Source organism: Homo sapiens, chromosome 19 (genome assembly GCF_000001405.40).
Source record: "Homo sapiens chromosome 19, GRCh38.p14 Primary Assembly".
In the NCBI taxonomy this organism is placed as follows: Eukaryota; Metazoa; Chordata; class Mammalia; order Primates; family Hominidae; genus Homo; species Homo sapiens.
The window spans coordinates 40,370,556-40,392,745 of NC_000019.10; the positions used below are offsets into that span (position 1 = coordinate 40,370,556).

Consider the following 22,190-nt stretch of genomic DNA (forward strand, 5'->3'; position numbering starts at 1 on the left):
CCAGCTCCTTGGGAGACTGAGGTGGGAGGATCACTTGAGCCCAGGAGTTTGAGGCTACAGTGGGTTGTATTCATGCCACTGCACTCCAGCCTGAGTGACAGAGTGAGACCCTGTTACAAAACAAAGAATCCCTAAATGGAGCCCTCTACTGCCCTCCCCCTGCTCCTGGAAGCCTGGGGCTCCCTCTGATCCCCAATTGCAGCTACCAGCCCCTCTACATGGCATTCAAGAACCTGCGCACCCATTTGATCTTCATTGTACATCTCTGTGTGCCTGCTCTAAGTCCAGCCCTATCCTGGGTAATGTTGGGAACATGGTGGTAACAGATGGACCTCATGGAACTCCCAGCCCAATGCAGACTGGCCTGTCACCTGACAGTGACAGCCCAGAGGGGTCAGGGCCGGGGTTGGGGAGACACAGGCAGAGGGTCAGGGCCAGGATGGAGGGAACAGAGGGCTGTGGAAGCTCAGAGACCCCAACCTGGGGCATTGGAGGGTTTCCCAAAGGAGGTATAACTAATCTGATCCCTGAAGGATAGGGAGGAATTAGCGCAAGATGGAACAGGAAACAGCTTGGGCAATGAGGTGAAGATAAGACAGGACAATAACTCATGAATTCATTTCCTCAACAGATAGTTCCCCTAACCTTTAATCTCAGCAATTATGCAGGGAGATGCTGTAGATATAGCTGTGACTGAGACATCCCTAGTGCCTGTCCTCCCAGCCCAATGGGAAGACCAGTTTGTCACCAGAAAGAATGAGGAGGGAATCCCAAGGGACTGTGAGAGCCCAGAGGAATGCCTGGTGCAGGCTGGGTAGTCATGGGAGGCTTCCTGAAGGAGGCAACATGTCAGCCTAGACCTAAGAATGAGTAGAAGCTAGCTCAGTGGAGGGTAGAAGCAACAGCAGATTGCAAACGTTCAGGAAACCTGGAGCTTTGGAATAACTGATTTTCATCAAAACTTAAGTTGATAATCATTCTAGGACTTTAGCTATTGGAGCTGGGGTGGAGGGGGTACTGTGGGACAGGGGGAAAGACAGAGACCAGACTGGGGAGTGTCCCTGTCATCTGTGAGCACTAGGCCGCTATCGCTGAGCTCAGCACTGCCCTCCTACAGGTCAAGGAGCTGGGCGTGGTCATGTACAACTGCAGCTGCCTGGCTCGAGACCTGACCAAGATCTTTGAGGCCTACTGGTTCCTGGGCCAGGCAGGCAGCTCCATCCCATCAACTTGGCCCCGGTTCTATGACACCCGCTACAACCAAGAGACACCAATGGAGATCTGCCTCAATGGAACCCCTGCTCTGGCCTACCTGGCGGTGAGTCTGGGGCAAGTGGGGCCTGTCATGTCCCAGCCCCATGCCGTCACTCACAGCCTCCATCTGTCCCTGTTTGGTGATGACAGGGAGGGCGTATCCTGACCATCAGTTCTCACCCCAGCTCATTCTGCTTGGTCAGGGGCCTGGAGTAGTTCCCAACATCCCTCGGCCTCTATTTCAGTTAGAAAATGGGTATTGTTTCCAACCTGTTAGGGCTGCTGGGAGAGGTACCCTGGGTTCATGCACACCAAACCTTTGGTGCTCTATATCATCCAGTATAGCCACAGGTGGCTCTTTCAGTTTAAGTTAATTAAATGCAATTAACAATTCAGGCCAAGTGGGGTGGCTTATGCCTGTAATCCCAATACTTTGGGAGGTTGAGGTGACAGGATCACTTGAGGCCAGGAGTTTGAGACCAGCCTGGACAACATAGCAAGACTCCATCTTTACAAACAAACAAACAAACAAACAAAACTAGCTGGGTTGGGTTGTGCATGCATGTAGTCACAGCTACGCAGGAGGCTGAGGCAGGGGGATCACTTGAGCCCAGGAAATCTAGGCTGCAGTGAGCCATGATCACACCACTGTACTCCAGCCTGGGTGACAGCCTGTTTCAAAAAAAAATTGTTTCAAGCCAGGCATGGTTTCTCATCCCTGTAATCCCAGCACTTTGGGAGGCCAAGGCCAAGATGGGAGGATCACTTGAGGCCAGGAGTTCATGACCAGCCTGGGCAACATAGGGAGACATCATTTCTTTCTATTTTTTTTTTTTTTTTGGTCTTATTATTTATTGTTCTAGATAGGATACCCAAGAACTAGGGAGACACCATTTCTACAAAAACATAATATTAATTAAAATTAGCCGGGTGTGGTTGTGTGCACCTGTAGTCCCTGGGGAGGCTAAGACAGGGGGATCACTTGAGCCCAGGAGTTTGAGGCTGCGTGAGCTGATTGTACCACTGCACTCCAGCCTGGGCAAGAGGCTGTTGCCCTGTCTCCAAAAAAAGAAAAAATTCAGTTCCTCATGCAGTAGCCACATTTCATATGCTCAGTAGCACCTGTAGCAAGTGACCACCATATTGGACATTTCCATCACTGTGACAGGCTCTGTTGGACAACACTGGCTCTCGCCATGGCAGATACTGATCACTCTGGACAAGGCACTGATGTTTCTAGCTCTTGATAGTTTCACTAGTTGAGGCAGGCAACCCAGGTCTCCCTAGGTCCCCCTGAGCAAGTTACCTGTCCAAGCCCAGAGTCATCGTGGAAGGCACAACCCTAAGGCGTGGACGTAGGGAAGTGTGACTCATTGGGGTCTTTCACTACAAGGGCCTCCCGCAGGGGATCAAGGCTCTCCTCATTACCACTTCCCCTTTTAGAGCCTCAGTTTCCTTGTCTCTTGAGCATTAAGGAAGATGGGGGGCCAGGCACAGTGGCTCATGCCTGTAATCCTAGCATTTTGGGAGTCCAGGATGGGCGGATCACTTGAGCTCAGGGGTTGGAGACCAGCCTGGGAAACGTGATGAAACCCCATCTCTACCAAAAATACAAAAATTAGCCTGGAGGGGTGGCGGGCACCTGTAATCCCAGCTACTCGGGAGGCTGAGGCAGGAGAATCACTTGAACCCAGGAGGTAGAGGTTGCAGGGAGCCGAGATTGCACCATTGCCCTCCAGGCTGGGTGACAGAGTGAGACTCCACTTCAAAAAAAAAAAAAGGGGGGGAAGCGGGGGAGCGGGGGAACTGGGAAGAGGGCCTGGTGAGGCACTGGGCACCCGAGGGGTTCCCAGTCAAGGCAGGCTGTGAGCAAATCAGGGAAGAAAGTGACTCGAGGCTGGGCACAGTGGCTCACGCCTGTAATCCCAGCACTTTGGGAGGCCTAGGCAGGTGGATTGCCTGAGGTCAGGAGTTCGAGACCTGCCTGGCCAACATGGTGAAATCCCATCTCCACTAAAAATACAAAAAAATTAGCTGGCTATGGTGATGTACGCCTGTAGTCCCAGCTACTTGGGAGGCTGAGGCAGGAGAATCGCTTGAACCCAAGAGGCAGCAGAGGTTGCAATGAGCTGAGATCATGCCACTGCACTCCAGCCTAGGAGACAGAGCAAGACTCCATCTCAAAAAAAAAAAAAAAAAAAAAGACTTGAGCAGAGGTCCTCAAACTGAGCATGCCCCAGAATCAGCTGGGCGGGCTTGTTAAAACCCAGATTCCTGGACCCCACCCCAGCACTCTGATTCAGTAGGCCATGTGCAGTGAGGCCCAGGAATTTGCATTTCTAACAAGTTCCCAGGTGATGCTGTTGCCGCTGGATCAGGGACCTTACGTTGAGAAGCACTGGGTTAGAGCATAAATTCTGGAACCAGACAGCCTGGGTTCGAATCCTGGCTCCATTTATCTGCTGTGTGACTTTAAGTAAGTCACTTACCCTCTCTGAGCCTCAGTTTCCTCACATGTGAAATGGATGTGGTGATTGACCCTCTTCTTCATGGAGGCTGAGGATTTGGTGAGATCCACAGTACCTGGCTTGTGGTGAGCTGTCCGTATGTGGGGTCCGTTGTGACGATGACCCTGGCAGGGCACATGTCTTAACTGTCCCCTCGCCCTCAGAGTGCGCCCCCACCCCTGTGTCCAAGTGGCCGCACTCCAGACCTGAAGGCTCTACTCAACGTGGTGGACAATGCCCGGAGTTTCATCTACGTCGCTGTCATGAACTACCTGCCCACTCTGGAGTTCTCCCACCCTCACAGGTACTGCTGGGTGTGGAGATAGGGAGCCGCTGCAGTTGGCCAGGAGACGGGAGAGGGAATCATGGAGACCAGAAAGCTGGTGGGGGCTCCAGGCAAGGGGACAGATGGAAGAGAAGCTGCAGGGAGAGACAGTCACCAGGAGGTGACCGGAAGAAGGTATCTAGGCACTTGAGACAGGAGAAAGAGAGATTACAGAGGAGACAGGGATGAGGTTTCAGGACAAGGTTTGAGGGAACAGAGAAAAGGATGAGAGGGCCGGGCGTGGTGGCTCACGCCTGTAATCCCAACATTTTGCGGGGCTGAGGTGGGTGGATCACTTGAGGTCAGGAGTTCAAGACCAGCCTGGCTAACATGGTGAAATCCCATCTCTCCTAAAAATACAAAAATTAGCCGGGCGTGGTGGCACGTGCTTGTAATCCCAGCTACTTGAGAGGCTGAGGCAGGAGAATTGCTTGAACCTGGGAGGTGAAGGTTGCAGTGAGTTGAGATCGCGCCACTGCTCTCCAGCCTGTGCGACAGACAGAGCAAGACTCTGTCTCAAAAAAACAACAAAAAAAAAGAGAAGGCTCAGAATATTGGGGTTGAGGGCAGGAAGCCTGAGGCAGGGGTGCAGGATGTGGGATTTGGGGAGGTAGGAGGCATGGGCTGGAAACAGGATGAGGGGCTTGGGGGATGGGGACTAAAAGTATTTGGGTTTAGGGTAGCAAGCTTGGGGATTTGTGATCCTGGGATAAGAAGGATAACAACCGGCCGGACGTGGTGGCTCACACCTGTAATCCCAGCACTTTGGGAGGCTGAGGCGGGTGGATCACGAGGTCAGGAGATCGAGACCATCCTGGCCAACATGGTGAAGCCCCGTCTCTACTAAAAATACAAAAAATTAGCCAGGTGTGGTGGCAGGCGCCTGTAGTCCCAGCTACTTGGGAGGCTGAGGCAGGAGAATCGCTTGAACCCGGGAGTCGGAGGTTGCAGTGAGCCAAGATCATGCCACTGCACTCCAGCCTGGGCGACGGAGCGAGACACCTTCTCAAAAAAAAAAAAAAGAAAAGAAAAAAAAAAAGAAGGATAACAACCATACCCACTGCAACATCCAGGTGGATGATGGCACTTGTGGGGCTCAAAGAAGGTATTCTAGGGGCAGTAGATAAGACAGTGGGTCCAGGCATGGTGGCTCACGCCTGTAATCCCAACACTTTGGGAGGCCGAGGCGGAAGGATCCCTAGGAGTTTGAGACCAGCCTGGGCAACATAATGAGACCCCGTCTCTATAGAAAAATTGGAAGATTAGCCCAGTGCGGTGGCACTCACCTGCAGTCCCAGCTACTCAGGAGACTGAGGCAGGAGGATCACTTGAGCCCAGGAGTTGGAGGCTGCATTGAGCTATGGTCGTGCCACTACACTCCAGCCTGGGTGATAGAGCAAGAACCTGTCTCAAAAAGAAAAAAAAGAGGATGGACCGGGCACAGTGGCTCACGCCTGTAATCCCAGCACTTTGGGAGGCCAAGGCGGGCAGATCACCTGAGGTCGGGAGTTCGAGACCAGCCTGACAAACATGGAGAAACCCCGTCTCTACTAAAAATACAAAATTAGCCAGGCGTGGTAGCGCATGCCTGTAATCCTAGCTACCCGGGAGGCTGAGGCAGGAGAATCGCTTGAACCCAGGAGGCAGAGGTTGCAGTGAGCCGAGATTGTGCCATTGCACTCCAGCGTGGGCAACAAGAGCGAAATTCCACCTCAAAAAAAAAAAGAAAGAATAAAAGAGGATGACAACACTGGGTTTTGGGGAGCAGGAATGGGAGCCACAGCCAGGAAGAGGAAATAGGGATGTGGGATTTATGGAGACAGGAACAGGGTCTGGGAGCCAGCGATGAGGAAGTCCTCTCAATAGCTAAAGCAGGGCCCAGGCTTGGTTCCCCAAAGCTGAGGGCAAAGCCTGTGGACACAGCCGCCCTCTGCATCCTGCCCCACCTCCTATACACCCGTCCTCAGGTTCTGGCCTGCCATTGACGATGGGCTGCGGCGGGCCACCTACGAGCGTGGCGTCAAGGTGCGCCTGCTCATCAGCTGCTGGGGACACTCGGAGCCATCCATGCGGGCCTTCCTGCTCTCTCTGGCTGCCCTGCGTGACAACCATACCCACTCTGACATCCAGGTGGTAAGTACTGCCCCAAGCCACCCCTTGGCCCCTGTGTGGGGCAGTCCTAGGGACACAGCCCTCATGGGACTCGTCTGTCAATGACAAGGGCAGCCCAGAGTGAGCCCTGTCACTGTGGGGAAACCATGGGTCAGGGCCAGGGTCATGGGGCACAGGGAGAGGGGCCAGGACCGGGATGAGGGGGCACAGGCAGAGGGGTTGGGACCGGGATGGGGGTGCAGAGAGAGGTGTTGGGACCAGGAATGGGGACATGGGCAGGTAGAGGGGTCAGGGCTGGGATTGGGAGCACAGGCAGAGGGGTCAGGGCTGGGATGGGGAGGCACAGGCAGAAGGGTCGGGGCCGGGTTGGAGGGCACAGAGAGAGGGGTTAGGGCCAGGGTTGGGGGCACAGGCAGAGGGGTCGGGGCCAGGATGGAGGAGGCCCAGGCAGAGGGGTGAGGGCTGGGGTGGGGGGCACAGAGAGAGGGTTTGGGACCAGGACTGGGGGAGTGGGCAGGTAGAGGGGTCGGGGCTGGGGTTGGGGGCACAGGCAGAGGGGTCAGGGCTGGGATGGAGGAGGTACAGGCAGAGGGGTCAGGGCTGGGATGGGGGGGCACAGGCAGAGGGGTCAGGGCTGGGATGGAGGAGGCCCAGGCAGAGGGGTCAGGGCCAGGGTCGGGGGGCACAGGCAGAGGGGTCAGGGCTGGGGTGGGGATGCCCAGAGGAAGCCTCTGCCCTAGCGGGAAGGGCCAAGGAAGATGTTCTGGAAATGGGGGCATCTGAGATGAGACCTCAGGAATGAACAGGAGCCATTCTGCCGGGAACAGTGTTTTGCAAATGAGACCACCGGGGCCTCCCTTTCAGCTTTCGTTCTCAGAGGGCCCCTCCACCTGGCCCTGTTCTGGCCCCCGAGGATTCTGTGGGAAGCAGTGGAGTCCCACAGATCTCGCTCCACACTCTGCTCCCTGATCCCGGGGCTCCTCCGACTCCCCCTGCCTCTCACACTCCTTCCCATCCTCCCCTCCCACTCAGAAACTCTTTGTGGTCCCCGCGGATGAGGCCCAGGCTCGAATCCCATATGCCCGTGTCAACCACAACAAGTACATGGTGACTGAACGCGCCACCTACATCGGTGAGTGTCTTGAGCACCACGGGGCGCTGAAGAAGAGGGGGTTCAGACACCAGGGGCGGCCCCCCGAGGGTGCCCTTATGCTCCACCCATTCCTCTCTAGGAACCTCCAACTGGTCTGGCAACTACTTCACGGAGACGGCGGGCACCTCGCTGCTGGTGACGCAGAATGGGAGGGGCGGCCTGCGGAGCCAGCTGGAGGCCATTTTCCTGAGGGACTGGGACTCCCCTTACAGCCATGACCTTGACACCTCAGCTGACAGCGTGGGCAACGCCTGCCGCCTGCTCTGAGGCCCGATCCAGTGGGCAGGCCAAGGCCTGCTGGGCCCCCGCGGACCCAGGTGCTCTGGGTCACGGTCCCTGTCCCCGCGCCCCCGCTTCTGTCTGCCCCATTGTGGCTCCTCAGGCTCTCTCCCCTGCTCTCCCACCTCTACCTCCACCCCCACCGGCCTGACGCTGTGGCCCCGGGACCCAGCAGAGCTGGGGGAGGGATCAGCCCCCAAAGAAATGGGGGTGCATGCTGGGCCTGGCCCCCTGGCCCACCCCCACTTTCCAGGGCAAAAAGGGCCCAGGGTTATAATAAGTAAATAACTTGTCTGTACAGCCTGTGCCTGACTGAGTGGTGTGAGATGGGGTGCAGGGGTAGGGGACAGCTGGCATGGGCCTCTGGTGGGGACATCTTTTTGTGCTGAGCCCTCAACATGTCACTGGCATGTGCTGAGCCCTCAGTGTGTGACCAGTGTGGGTTAGCATGTACTGAGCCCTCAGCATGTGCTGGCATGGGTTGGCATGTGCTGAGCCCTTAACATGTAGTGTACATGGGCTGACCTGTGCTGAGCATGCAGCGTGCCACCCTGTGGCCCGGCATGGACTTAGCACTCATGTAGCCAGCATGGGTATGTGCTGCAGAGAAGCATGTTCCCAGATTGATCAGCAGGGACCAAACCATTGCCACATCCCAAGGGTGAACAAGCATGGCTGAGCACCAGAGTGTGCACCAAGTGTGAATTTAGGCCTGCCAAGTGGATTTACACCCAGCACGTCCCAAATGTGGGTGAGTGCATGCCAACCCTGTAAACATGTAGGAAGGACAGGTCAACAGACAAGGAGACCCCAGCATCCGGCAAACTTGATTAACACATACTGAACACAGCATGTTCTGAGGGTGGATTCCCAACACGCCAAGCACATAGCGTATTTAGGACAAGGGTTAGTCAACCAAGCACAGCTTTTCCCTCCTAGTGTGACAGCAGCCCAGGCTCCCGCCTAAGCCAGTGGTCAACTGGGCCCAGCATCGCAGAGCAAGTCACTGGGTGCCAGCCTGGAGCCCCCATTCCCCCCAGGGCCAGTCCAAGCCCCAGGCAGTGAGAGCAGGCTTGAAGCAGGACTGCTGAACAGTTCTATATTGAAATAGACAGAGGCAGCAGGGCCAAGGGCGAGCGCAGGGCCAGCGGGGTGCAGCCCCCTTTCCTGCTGTCCTTCTGGCCAAGGAGCATGGGCCAGACTCCAAAGCCCTGCTGTGTTTAGGAGAGGTGTGCAGGCACGCACCGCACCGCAGACGGGGAATGAGAATTTCTGGATAACTATCTTTCTGTAAGAATAATTTGTGGGTTCAGGAGATGGCTCTGAGGAGCAGTTCAGGTTGGGAGGGAATGCCAGCCCAGCTAGCGCAGCCCCCAGTGATGGGCAGGGGTGGAATCACCATCAGTGGTGCCCGGTGACATGCTGGAGGAAGCTGGTGGCCCCCCGGGGTGGACCATGCTGGTGGGAGCGGCGGGGTGGGAGCCCCTGAGCCCGTGGGCCCCTGACGCTCTCCAGGGTGCAGTCTGGCTCACTCAGCCATTCTCCAGGACAGCTGCTGGGGTCGAAGAGCTCAGGGTCTGGCCTCTGTGGGGGAAGAGAGAGGGGCATCAGCCAAGCAGTGTTAGTGTATTAGTGTCTGCTGAGCCTCTGTCACCTCCTCCTGATGAGGGTGAGCATGTGCTAGGGTCTTACCAGTGCTGGGCCTTTATTGCCCCTTTGTAGTGATGTGATGACAGCTCACTGCAGCCTCGACCTCCCTGGCTCAAGTGATCCTCCCACCTCAGCCTCCTGAGTAGCTGGGACTACAGGTGCATGCCACCAAAACCAGCTAATATTTCTAATTTTTTGGTGCAGACGGGATCTCACTATGTTGCCCAGGCTCTTTATCAAGCTTCTTATAAGTAGATTACTGTGCCCTGAGTTTTTGTCACAGCCTGGAAGTAGCTGAGTAAGTGCTGAGCCTTATCATATCTTGACGGTATTAGGTGTGTGCTGAGCCTCCTAAGTCCCTAATTGTATCCTGAACATGGGTGAGTGTGTGTTGAGCCTCCTCACACACTAATCATATCCTGAGCACGGGTGAGTGTGTGCTGAGCCTCCTCCCACCCTAATCGTATCCTGAACGCACCCGGCTCACCTCAGCTTCCATGGTCATGTTGTCAATGTTGGGCCCATCCTCATCTCGCTGCAGGATGGCCAGTGGCTCAGCAGAGGCCCCGAGATGCTCTCCTTCCTCCCAGCTGCTGCCCCGGCAGGGCCTGTCATCCTCAGGCGAGACCTGGCTCAGCCGAATGAGGTTGCTGAAGTTGGAGTCGGACTTGGAACCCGCAGGTGGCTTGCGGGCCTTGTGGCGGCCTGCCAGGCGGCTGCTGTAGAAGGCCAGGATGGGCTCAGGGCCCGAGTCGGGCACATGGTGGCCAGTGATGGCTGCCTTGAGGGGGACCATCATGTCGGAGACCGCATTGGTGCAGGTCTCACCCCACAGCCCATGCCCAGCCTCCTGCAGACTCAGGTCATCCAGCTGGTCGATGGCTCTTTGCATACCTGGTGCCTTCTCCTCTCGGAAGAAGGGGCTGCTGCCGGCCACACTGCCCATACCCGCAGCCTCCTTCTCCTCAGCCAGACAGTAGTAGGGGGTCCCATCTTCTGCGGCCACGACGGGCGTGGGGGGCTTCCCCTCCACTTGCAGCGAGAGGCGGTAGCTGCGCAGCGAGAGCTGGTAGTAGTGGGTGGTCTCGTGGGCACTGCGCAGCTGCTGCATGGACACGAAGGGGTGGCGCAGGGCAGCACTGGGGCTGATGCGTTCGTGTGACTCCCAGGTCAGCATGCGCTTGATCAGCTCCACCATGCTCTTGAGGTCGGCGTGCTCCGCCAGCGCCTCCCGGTCAGGGAAGGTTAGCCGACTGGCCACACTGCCACCATTCACTGTCTCAATCTGGTCCAACGACTTGAGCATATACTTGCGGCGCTCCAATGGGCGCACCTGGCGGGGCATGGAGAAGGGGGCAGGGTTGACCATTGTGCAGGGCTAGGGCCCTGGGCACTCCTGCTGTGGCACCCACATGTAGCCCCGACTTCCAGGTCTGCCCATGATCTGCCTTGGAGCTCTCTGGCTGCTAGGAGGGCCACCCTGGATCCGTCACACCCAAGCCCCTCTAATCGAACCCAAATCACTGGCCCAAGTTCCACCCCTTGCCCCAGACCTCCAGTCCCCTTCAGCACCATGGGTGCAGCCCCTACCAGCAGCTAGCAGAAGGGCTGCCCGGAATCTCTAGTCCTCCCTGGAATCAAATCCAGGTCCCTCTTACTGCCACAGCTCCACACTTGATCCCAGGCCTCCTGGTGGTCAAACCCAGACCCTTCTTGCTATAGTAGTTTGTCACCCCCTGCTATTAAACTGCCATTGACTTTTAGTCTCACCTGTGGTCCCATCCAGACCCTTCTTGCTGTGAAATCAAGACCTATGACCTCAAACTCCTAGTCCCCTCTGCTGTCTAACCCAGGCTCTTGCTGCACAGATGGGAGGGGCAAAGCCACAGAGGTAGCAGACTGGCTGCTGCCCCAAACCTCTAGACTCACCTGAGGTCTCACTCAGATCCTTTTTTTTTTTTTTTTTTTTTTTTTTTTGTATGTGTGTGAGACAGAGTTTCACTCTTGTTGCCCAGGCTGGAGTGCAGTGGTACAATCTCGGCTCACTGCAACCTCCACCTCCCAGGTTCAAGCGATTCTCCTGCCTCAGCCTCCTGAGCAGCTGGAATTACAGGTGTCCACCACCATGCCCAGCTAATTTTTGTATTTTTAGTAGAGATGGGGTTTCACCATGTTGGCCAGGCTGTTCTCGAACTCCTGACCTCAGGTGATCCACCCACCTCGGCCTCCCAAAGTGCTGGGATTACAGGTGTGAGCCACTGTGCCTGGCCTTAGATCCTTTTTTTTAAACAGGGTCTTGCTGTGTCGCCCAGACTGGGGTGTAGTGGTGCAATCATAGCTCACTGCAACTGCCAACTCCTGGGTTCAAGTGATCTTCCCACCTCAGCCTCCCAAGTAGCTTGGAACTACCGGTGTGTGCCACCATGCCTGGCTAAATTTTAAAAAAAATTTTTTCTAGAGACACGGTCTTGCTATGTCGCCCACAATGACTTCAAGTGATCCTCCTGCCTTGGCCCCCACCAAAGTGCGTGGACTACAGGCATAAGCCACTGCACCTGGCCTCTCTCGCAATTCTCATAGCCAATCTCAGACCTCATATATTCTCTGTGGTCTAATCCCTCTTGCCACACAAGTTGCTGACCCCGGAGCTGAAGCTGGCAGAGAAGCTGCCCCAATCGTCCTGTCACACTTATAGTATGACCCAGATCTCTCTTGCTAGAGCAGCCCCCACATCTGACTTCCAAACATCTAATTCTCCCTGCAGTTTCTCCCCCAGATCTATCTTGCTGCAGTTGCTGACCAGTCCCACATTTGATCTCATGCAGCTCTTTCTTGCTGTGAAAATGCCCTAGGCTGACCCCCAAGTTCCAGTCCTCATTGAGGTTTAGCCCAGAAATTTTTTTTTTCAATTATTAAAAAAATATTTTTTTGGCCGAGCGCGGTGGCTCATGCCTGTAATCTCACTGCTTTGGGAGGTCGAGGTGGGTGGATCACGAGGTCGGGTGTCTGAGACCAGCCTGGCCAACATGGTAAAACCCCGTCTCTAGTAAAAATACAAAAAAATTGCCGGGTGTGATGGTGGGTGCCTGTAAGCCCAGCTACTCAGGAGGCTGAGGCAGGAGAATCTCTTGAACCTGGGAGGCAGAGGTTGCAGTGAGCTGAGACCGCACCACTGCACTCCAGCCTGAGCAACAGATCAAGACTCCGTCTTAAAAAAAAAAGAAAAAAATATTTTTCTTTTCTTTCTTTTTTTTTTTTTTTTTTTGAGACGGAGTCTCACTCTGTTGCCCAGGCTGGAGTGCAGTGGTGGGATCTCGGCTCACTGCAACCTCCGCCCTCTGGGTTCAAGCGATTCTCCTGCCTCAGCCCGCCGAGTAGCTGGAATTACAGGCGTCTGCCACTGCGCCCAGCTAATTTTTTGTGTTTTTAGTAGAGACTGGGTTTCATCATCTTGGCCAGGCTGGTCTTGAACTCCTGACCTCGTGATCCACCCACCTCGGACTCCCAAAGTGCTGGGATTACAGGCGTAAGCCACCACACCCAGCCTCTGTTTTTTGTTCTTTTCACTCCATTCTTCTGGTCTGATAGATTTTTCTTTTTGAAACAGAGTCTTGCTCTGTCACCCAGGCTCAAGTGTAGTGGCATGATCATAGTTCACTGTAGCCTGGACCTCCCAGGCTCAAGGAATTCTCCTGCCTCAGCCTCCCATGTATCTGGGACAATAGGCCCATACCACCGTGCCCAGCTGATTTTTTTTTCCATGTTTTATAAAGAGGAGGTCTCACTATGTTCCCCAGGCTGGTCTCAAACCCCTAGGCTCAAGGGATCCTCCCACCACAGCCTCCCAAAGTGCTGGAATTACAGGTGTGAGCCACGTTGCCCACCCTAGAATTTTTTTTCATGTAACAGCCCCCACACTGACTGCCCTCACCCAACTTTTCCCTTACCTTCGTCTCGGCCAGGTAGTCAGCCGAGGACTTGAGCTGCCAGGGGTTGGCAGCGTCAGGGTGGGGGTTGCGCTTGAAGAAGTGGTGGGCCTTGCAGGCGGCGTGCAACAGGTGTGGCTTGGGCAGGCCCTGGGTTTCGCAGATGTAGCGCACCTGGTCGTACTCGTTGTTGCCGGGGTAGAGAGGCCAGCCCAGGTGCAGCTCAGCCATGACGCAGCCCAGGGACCACACGTCCACCTTCTCGCAGAAGGGCAGCCCCAGCAGGATCTCAGGGGCCCGGTAGAAGCGCGACTGGATGTATGGCTCCTTCACGTAGCGCACCTCGCTGAAAATGCTGGCGGATCCGAAGTCAATCACCTGTCGGGGGTGGGGAAGAGGGCGAGTGGGCAGGTCAAGCAGCAGGGACAGCCGAGCTGGGCCACCCCGGCATCTTTCACCTGGCATCTTCCTGCATCTGCTATTTGACTCTGGCCATCTCTGGGTCTGTGATTCTTTAGTTGCTTTGTTGGTTTTTGTTTGTTTGTTTGTTTGTTTGTTTGAGACAGAGTCTCACTCTTGTTGCCCAGTCTGGAGTGCAATGGCACGATCTCAGCACACTGCAACCTCCACCTCCCCGGTTCAAGCGATTCTCCTGCCTTAGCCTCCTGAGTAGCTGGGATTGCAGGCGCCCACCACCACACCCGGCTAATTTTTTGTATTTTTAGTAGAGATGGGGTTTCACTATGTTGGCCAGGCTGGTCTCGAACTCCTGACCTCATGTGACCCACCCGCCTCGGCCTCCCAAAGTGCTGGGATTACAGGCGTGAGCCACCGCACCCAGCCTTTGTTGGTTTTTTTTTTTTTTTTTGAGACCGAGTCTCACTCTGTCGCCCAGGCTAAAGTGCAGTGGCGCAATCTTGGCTCATTGCAACCTCTGCCTCCTGGGTTCAAGTGATTCTCCAGCCTCAGTCTCCTGAATAGCTGGGTCTACAGGTGCACACCACCATGCCCTGCTAATTTTTGTATTTTTAGTAGAGACGGGGTTTCACCCTGTTGGCCAGGCTGGTCTTAAACTTCTGACCTCAGATGATCTGCCCTCCTCAGCCTCCCTAAGTGCTGGAATTACAGGCATGAGCCACCGCACCCAGCTGTGGCCGTAGTTGTTAAGTCCCTATCTCTGTCTCTTCCAGCCTTTGTGTCTGGTTCGAGTGACTGACTCTGTCTCTGTTTCTCTCCACTAGAACTATGCAAAGGAGGGTTAGGACCCTATTCTTCCTCTTGCACCCCACACCTTGTCCATCAGCCAACAGATCTAGAATCTGCTCCCTCTGCATGCCATCCACAGCCCCGACCCTGGTCCTATCCTGCATCCTTTCCAACCTAGACCAACGCGGGGGTCTCCTCGCTGGTCTCCCTGCTCCTCTCCTCTGCCCCCTAGTCTGTCTGTCACAAGCATCCAGAGGGATCCTGTGGCCGCCCGGGATAGATTGGGTCCTCCCCTGCTCATAGCCACATCCTGTGACAAAAGCCAAAGTCCTCACCGTGGCCCACAGGTCTCCAATGTCTGCTCTGTCACCTCTCTGCCACATCTCCCACTCTCCCCATCACTCACCCTCCTCCAGCCACAAGGGTCTCCTCACTATTCCTTGAACAAGTCAGACATTCCCAGCTCAGGGCTTTTGCACTCGCTGTTCCCTCTGCCTGGAATGCTCTTCCCTGCATGAGCACAGGGCTCCCTGCCTCACCTCCTTCAGGTCTTTACTCAAATGTCACCTTTCTATCAAAAGGTGAAAGGCAGGACAAAAAAAAATGATCACCTTCTCAGTGAGACCTTCCCTAATCATTCTGTGAAAGCATCAGCCATCAGTCCCCATCCTTTCTATCCCCCGCCAGGCCCCTGTTTTTCTTTTTCTTTTCTTTTCTTTTTTTTTTTTTTTTTTTTTTTTTTGAGTCGGAGGTTTTTGAGACAGAGTTTTGCTCTTGTCACCCAGGCTGGAGTGCAATGGTGCAATCTTGGCTCACTGCAACCTCCTCCTCCCAGGTTCCAGTGATTCTCCTGCTTCAGCCTCCCAAGTAGCTGGGATTACAGGTGCACACCACCATGCGCAGCTAATTTTTATATTTTTAGTAGAGACGGGGTTTCACGATGATGGCCAGGCTGGTCTCGAACTCCTGACCGCAGGTGATCCACTCGCCTCGGCCTCCCAAAGTGCTAGGACAGGCGTGAGCCACCGCACCCAGGTCCACCATTGCTCTTAATGCCATTTCACACACTATATCTCTTAATTTTTTATTTTAATTTTATTTTTTAATTATTTATTTTTTTGTGACGGAGTCTCGCTCTGTTGGCCAGGCTGGAGAGCAGTGGTGTGATCTTGGCTCACTGCAACCTCCACCTACTGGATTCAAGTGATTCTCCTGCCTCAGCCTCCTGAGTAGCTGGGATTACAAGCGCTAATCTTTTGCATTTTTGGTAGAGACAGGCGGGGTTTCACCATGTTAGCCAGGCTGGTCTCAAACTCCTGACTCAGATGATCTGCCCGCCTCAGCCTCCCAAAGTGTTGGGATTACAGGCGTGAGCCACGGCGCCCAGCCCTTTTTTCCTTTTTAGAGACAGGGTCTTGCTCTATCACCCAGGCTGGAGTACAGTGGCACCATCGTAGCTCACTGTAGCCGCGAACTCCAGGGCTCACAAGATCCTCCCGCCTCAGCCTCCTGAGTAGCTGGGACCACAGGCATGCACCTCCATACCCAGCTAATTTTTTAACTTTTTGTAGAGATAGAGATGGGTCTCACTATGTTGCCCAGGATGGCTCCTGGGCTCAAGTGATCCTCCTGCCTCAGCCTCCCAACATGCTGGGATTATAGGCATGAGGCCCTGCACCTGGCCTCTCTCAGCATTTCTCTCCCCAGCGAGGATGTCAGTCCCACGAGGGCAAAGAATTTATCCATTTTGTTCAATACTGTATCCCTAGATGCCTAGAACAGGGCTTGGCACACAGCAGGGGCTCAGTAAATAATGAGTGAATGAATGAATGTATGTATGGGCTTTGAGTTCCTTCATTCTCTTTCCATCTCTTGCTTGTATCTCTCTCTCTCTGTCTCTCATTTGAGACAGTGGCTCACCCTGTCACCCAGGCTGGAATGCAGTGGCGCAATCTCGGCTCAAGGCAACCTCCACCTTCCACGTTCAAGCGATTCTCCTGCCTCAGCCTCCCAAGTAGCTGGGACTACAGTCACATGCCACCATGCCCAGCTAATTTTTGTATTTTTAGTAGAGATGGGTTTTCACCATGTTACCCAGGCTGGTCTTGAACTCCTGGGCTCTAGTAATCCTCCCACCTCGGCCTCCCAAAGTCCTGAGATTCTAGGCATGAGCCACTGTGCCTGGCCATTTGTACCTCTCGTTCTTTCTTTGCAACTGCCTCTCCATCACTTGCCTGTCTCTTGTCTCTCAGTGTCTCTCTCTCTCTTTCCATCTCTGTCTCTGTGTCGTCCACTAGGAAGACACCTCCCTGAAGTCCCGGTCCTCTTCTGTCTTCCTCTTCAGGCACTGTTCACACTCGTCACAGGCCTTTGACACATGACAGGTGCTTGGCCAACAGCTGCGGAACCAACATTGCGAATGGCCGAAAGCCTTTGTCTCTCCCCATGCCTCTGGTGGAGCTGTCTGCCATTTTCACCCTGAATCTCCGTGACTCTCTCTTGGCCTGTTTCTTTTTCTTTTTCTTTTTCAGGTGGCTTCACTCTTTTGTCCAAGCTGGAGTGCAGCGGCATGATCTCGGCTCACTGCAACCTCCGCCCCCATATGGGTTCAAGCGATTCTCCTGCATCAGCCTCCCAAGTAGCTGGGATTACAGGTGCACCCCACCACATCTGGCTAAGTTTTGTATTTTTAATAGAGACAGGATTTCACCATGTTGGCCAGGCTGGTCTTGAGCTTCTGACCTCAGGTGATCCACCTGCCTCAGCCTCCCAAAGTGCTGGGATTACAGGCTTGGGCCACCACACCTGGCCAGCCTGTTTCCTTCTCTGAGTTTTTCTGCTTTTCATTCAGCCATTTCTCAGTTTTTTGTTTTTGTTTTGTGTTGAGACAGAGTCGAGCTCTGTCGCCCAGGCTGGAGTGCAGTGGCGTGATCTCAGCTCACTGCAAAACCTCTGCCTCCCAAGTTCAAGTGAGTCTCCTGCCTCTGCCCCCCAACTAACTGGGATTCCAGGTATGTGCCACCACGCCTAGCTAATTTTAGTTTAGTTTTTTTTTTTTTTTTTCTGAGACAGAGGGACTTCCTCTGTCGCCCAGGCTGGAGTGCAGTGGCGTAATCTCAGCTCACTGCAACCTCTGCCTCCCGGGTTCTAAGCGATTTATCTGCTTCAGCCTCTGGAGTAGCTAGGATTACAGGTGCCCGCCACCACACCCGGCTAATTTTTATACTTTTAGCAGAGACGAGGTTTCACCATATTGGTCAGGCTGGTCTTGAACTCCTGACCTCAGGTGATCCACCCGCCTCGGCCTCCCAAAGTGCTGGGATTACAGGCGTGAGCCACCGCACCTGGCCATCCCTCACCTTTCACTTGCAGAAAGCAGTATCATGAAATGGTTATTAATTGCTATTCTGATCCCAGAGTGCCAGGGCTTCAGTACCCAAGAGGCTGAGTGACCCTGGGCACTTAGTCTATGTTTGTGGAATGAATTCATTCCTTCCACAGAGACAGTGGGGGTGATAATGCCGGCCAGGTGCTGTGGATCCGTCCTGTCTGTCCCCTGCTGTGTTTGTGGAAGTCCCTGCTTCCCTGGGTCTCTGTCCTTCCACCTCTTGGGGCAGAATAATCCACCTTTTTCTGTCTCTGTGTCTCTGGCAAGCATTCATTTAGCACTGGCTCCATGACTGCAGTGCTGGGAGATGTCAGGGACACAGCGATGATTAAGTCAGCCCCAGCCTTGCCCTCAGGGTGCCCCTGGTTCAGAAGCATCCAGACAGTATCAAACTCAAAAGCAGACAGAGGACTGGGCATGGTGGCTCACACTTGTAATTCCAGCACTTTGTTGAGGCCAAGGTGGGCAGATTGCTTGAACTCAGGACTTTGAGACCAGCCTGGGCAACATGATGAAATCCTGTTTCTACCAAAAAACACAAAAATTGGCTGGGCGTGGTGGCTCACGCCTGTAATCCCAGCACTTTGGGAGGCTGAGGCAGGTGGATCACAAGGTCAGGAGTTTGAGACCAGCCTGGCCAACATGGCGAAACTCCATCTCTACTAAAAATACAAAAATTAGCCGGGCATGGGTGGCGGGCACCTGTATTCCCAGCTACTCAGGAGGCTGAGGCAGGAGAATCGCTTGAACCCGGGAGGCGGAGGCAGTGAACCAAGATCATGCCATCATCACCCCGTCTCTGATAAGTACAAAAAAAAAATTAGCTGGGCGTGGTGGCGCATCCCTGTAATCCCAGCAACTCGGGAGGCTGAGGCAGGATAATCACTTGAACCCAGGAGGCGGAGTTGCAGTGAGCTGAGATTGTGCCACTGCACTCAAGCCTGGGTAACAGAATGAAACTCCGTCTCAAAAATAATAATAATAATAATTTTAAAAAATTAAAAAAAAAATCTAGGGCTGGAAGAAGCTGGGAAAAAGACAAGGAACTAGGGACGCAGCCACCCTAGACGACCCCTACTCACCTTGACCCTGAAGGGGCAGCGGGTCTGGTCCACCAGCATGATGTTCTCAGGCTTGAGATCAGCGTGGATGATAGCCAGCTCCTTGAGCCGGGCCAGGGCTGTGAGCACCTGCAGGGTGACTGTACGGATGTGGCGGGCGGGGAGGGGCGCGAAGTTGTTCTCCTTCTGGAACTCGAAAAGGTTTTGCTCCAGCAGCTCAAAGACCAGGTAGAACTTGAGGGCGTCATGGAAGAACTCAAGGAAGCGGATGACGTGGGCCTCTTCAGGGTCTAGGCCTCGCATGCAGTGCAGCAGCTTCAGCTCGTTCTTGATGATGCGGTTGCGGTAGGCGTCATTCTTGAGGATCTTGATGGCCACCATCTCGCCCGTGCTCCGCCGCCAGCCCTTGGCTACCTCCCCGAAGGTCCCCTTGCCCAAGACCTCGATGATGTCGTAGCAGTCAGTCTCCGACTGGATGGTGGACATGGTGCCGCTGCTGCCAGACACCGCCCTGCCCAGGCCCCTGTACCACTGGCTCTGCCGCCCAGGCCTCCCGCCTGGCTGCTGACACAGCAGGCCCCCCAGTGGGGGAAAGAGAACCGCACTCGTGTCTCCTCCTATGAGGTTGGCCCCTGCTTCCCTGGCACCCCCAAACCCCCAGGCCACACTGTCAGTCTGCCAGGGGCTGCACCCCTCCCCAGAAACCCTCCTGGCTTGGGATGAGGGGCCCCAGGCCCCACCGAATGGGTTCCAGCGCTGTTGAGTGGCTCTGGTTCTGTTGTTGGAGACCTGAGCCCTGGCTGGAGTGGGGGTGGGGTACCAGGCTGGGCCCCCTCCCCCGCCCAGTGGCGGAATCTTGCAAAGACCAAACAGGTGAAGTGTTGACAGAGGGGGGTCTAATCGTGGGCCTTGGGCATACAGGAATGGGGATAAGGCAGGAGTGAGGAAAGGTGGGCTTCTTGAGCTTGGGAGATGTGATGTGTGTGTGTCTGTGTTCAGAAAACTCCTGTCCCAGTCTGTGGCTACTGTGGGGTGAGGTTGTAAAAGGCCCTGAATGCCAGGCTAAGGAGTTTGGATTCTGTTCTGAGGGCACTGGGGAGCCACAGAAGGGCTTTGAGCAGGGGAGGGCAGGGTCAGATATGAGTGTCAGAAAGTTACTGTATGAAAAGGGATAGGTTGGAGCGGGTAAGAGTGGAAGCCCCAAGCCAGGGAAAGAGTCCAGGACAGGGCACAGATGGGAGAGGTTGGGGAGGAGAGGGCGAGGCCAATGGATGAGACACTCAAAAGGCCAGGAGAAGCAGCCGTGAGACCGACGGTTTGAGGGAAAGGCGGGAGCTGTCTAAGAACGGGCCTAGGGCTCTGGGATGAAGGGGCAGTCCCCGAGAAATGGACATGGATAAGAAGCAGCTTGGGGGAGATGTTGAGGCCAAATTAGAAAATGTATTTATTTTTGGCTGGGTGCGGTGGGTCACGCCTGTAATCCCAGCACTTTGGGAGGCCAAGGAAGGCAGATCATAAGGTCAGGAGATCGAGACCATCCTGGCTAACACGGTGAAACTCTGTCTCTACTAAAAATACTAAAAATTAGCCAGGCATAGTGGAGGGCGCCTGTAGTCCCAGCTACTCGGGAGGCTAAGGCAGAAGAATAGCTTGAACCCGGGAGGTGGAGGTTGCAGTGAGCCGAGATTGCACCACTGCACTCCAGCCTGGGTGACAGAGCGAGACTCCATCTCAAAAAAAAAAAAAAAGTGTTCATTTTTATTTATCTTTTTAATTTTTTGTAGAAATGGGGTCTCACTATGTTGTCCAGGCTGGTCTCAAGTGATCCTCCTGGCCTCAAGTGATCCTCCTGCCTCAACCTTCCAAAGTGCTGGGATTGTAGACATGAGCCACCACTCCAGCCAGATTAGAATATTTAACAGCGGGCCGGGCTCGGTGGCTCATGCCTGTAATCCCAGCACTTTGGGAGGCTGAGGCAGGTGGATCACCTGAGGTCGGGAGTTCGAGACCAGCCTGACCAACATGGAGAAACCCCGTCTCTACTAAAAATACAAAATTAGCCGGGTGTGTTAGCACATGCCTGTAGTCCCAGCTACTCAAGAGGCTGAGGTCGGCAGGCTGAGGTATGAGAACTGCTTGAACGCGGGAGGTGGGGTTGCAGTGAGCCAAGATTGCGCCATTGCACTCCAGCCTGGGCAACAAGAGTGAAACTCCGTCTCAAAAAAAAAAAAAAAAGTAAAAGAAAATGTAACATCAAAACATTTAAACAAGGATGAAGTTCTTTAGAAGTCTTATCTGATCCTTACAACATACAAAGTAGGGATTTTATGGAAGAGAAAATCAAGGCACAAAGAAGTTTTTAAAGTGCCTGGCCAGGAGTGGTGGCTTACGCCTGTAATCCCAGCACTTTGAGAGGCCAAGGTGGGCGGATCACCTGAGGTCAGGAGTTTGAGACCAGCCTTGCCAACATGACAAAACCTCAACTCCACTAAAAATACAAAAATTAGCTGGGCATGGTGGTATACACCTGTAGTTCCAGCTACTTGGGAGGCTGAGATCGGGAGGCTGAGGTATGAGAATCGCTTGAACCTGGAAGGCGGAGGTTGCTGTGAGCCAAGATTGCACCACTGCACTCCAGCATGGGCAACAGAGTGAGACTCTGTCTCAAAAAATAAAAATAAATAAATAAATGATAAAATAAAATGCCTAAGGTCACTCAAGTGACTGCCAGAGACAGCCTCTGACCCTAAGCAGCCTGGCTCCAGCGCCAAACTCTGAACCACCACCCACACAACCTCCTAAAAACCAGGAGACCTCTGGAGAAGGGGTGCAGAAGCTGCTGGGTCCCCAAGGGGATGCAGGAGAGAGTTTGGGAGTTGTCAGCACAGAGAGGAGGCGTGGAAGCCATGGGGGAGGGTGATGCACCCTAGGGAGGGTGTGGGGGTGGACAAGGGCCCGGGAGGAACCTCCGGTGCCCAAGGAGCACGGGGAGAGAGAGGTGTGGGGAAGAGGAGCAAGTGTCAGGAAGATCGAAGGGGCCTTGAAGAGTCAGGACAAGAGAGACAAAGGAAACCCTCAGGCGTGGCCACGGGGAGGTCACTGCTGACACAGACAAGGTAGGAGGAAAACCCCAAATGCTGGGGTCTTGGAAATGGGGGTGCACTGTGAGTGTAGATAACTCCTGCCATGTTTGGTGGGGGCAAAGAAAAAGTGTGTGGTGAGACAGTGACCTGAGGAGGGCTGGCTGGAAGGGACAAGGTACTCAAGTGAGTGGGGGATTCTGCCAGGCCCCTCATCCACTGAGACAGGATAGGGAGATGTGAGGAGAG

General features: G+C 54.4%; 2 protein-coding genes across 4 annotated transcripts in view, besides 3 other annotated features; one reads left to right on the forward strand and one right to left on the reverse strand.

The window, feature by feature from the left end:
* Positions 1–7,930, forward strand: part of PLD3 (phospholipase D family member 3) — a 29,791-nt gene extending 21,861 nt beyond the window's left edge. For all 3 annotated transcript variants that reach the window (NM_012268.4, NM_001031696.4, NM_001291311.2), the window contains exons 9-13: positions 1,118–1,318; positions 3,926–4,065; positions 6,054–6,219; positions 7,231–7,330; positions 7,431–7,930. In NM_012268.4, coding sequence (NP_036400.2) covers positions 1,118–1,318; positions 3,926–4,065; positions 6,054–6,219; positions 7,231–7,330; positions 7,431–7,618 — 795 coding nt within the window. In that variant the 3' untranslated portion in view covers positions 7,619–7,930. The remainder of the gene's footprint in view (positions 1–1,117; positions 1,319–3,925; positions 4,066–6,053; positions 6,220–7,230; positions 7,331–7,430) is intronic.
* Positions 1,227–1,521: an enhancer, noted in NCBI's record as "tiled region #12346; K562 Activating DNase matched - State 5:Enh". NCBI's record gives its function as "activates a minimal TATA promoter and a strong SV40 promoter by Sharpr-MPRA in K562 cells {active_cell/tissue: K562}" and the evidence as "EXISTENCE:reporter gene assay evidence [ECO:0000049][PMID:27701403]".
* On the reverse strand, positions 8,716–19,626 carry HIPK4 (homeodomain interacting protein kinase 4). The gene is made up of 4 exons (NM_144685.5): positions 18,883–19,626; positions 13,228–13,584; positions 9,768–10,613; positions 8,716–9,214 (listed from the first exon to the last, which is right to left on the reverse strand). Exons 1-4 carry the CDS (start codon positions 19,345–19,347, stop codon positions 9,032–9,034), a joined length of 1,851 nt encoding a protein of 616 aa, NP_653286.2. The 5' UTR covers positions 19,348–19,626; the 3' UTR covers positions 8,716–9,031.
* Positions 18,979–19,528: an enhancer, noted in NCBI's record as "H3K4me1 hESC enhancer chr19:40895441-40895990 (GRCh37/hg19 assembly coordinates)". NCBI's record gives its function as "activates a minimal SCP1, AML or CMV promoter by ChIP-STARR-seq in primed H9 embryonic stem cells {active_cell/tissue: H9 hESC(primed)}" and the evidence as "EXISTENCE:reporter gene assay evidence [ECO:0000049][PMID:30033119]".
* Positions 19,529–20,078: an enhancer, noted in NCBI's record as "H3K4me1 hESC enhancer chr19:40895991-40896540 (GRCh37/hg19 assembly coordinates)". NCBI's record gives its function as "activates a minimal SCP1, AML or CMV promoter by ChIP-STARR-seq in primed H9 embryonic stem cells {active_cell/tissue: H9 hESC(primed)}" and the evidence as "EXISTENCE:reporter gene assay evidence [ECO:0000049][PMID:30033119]".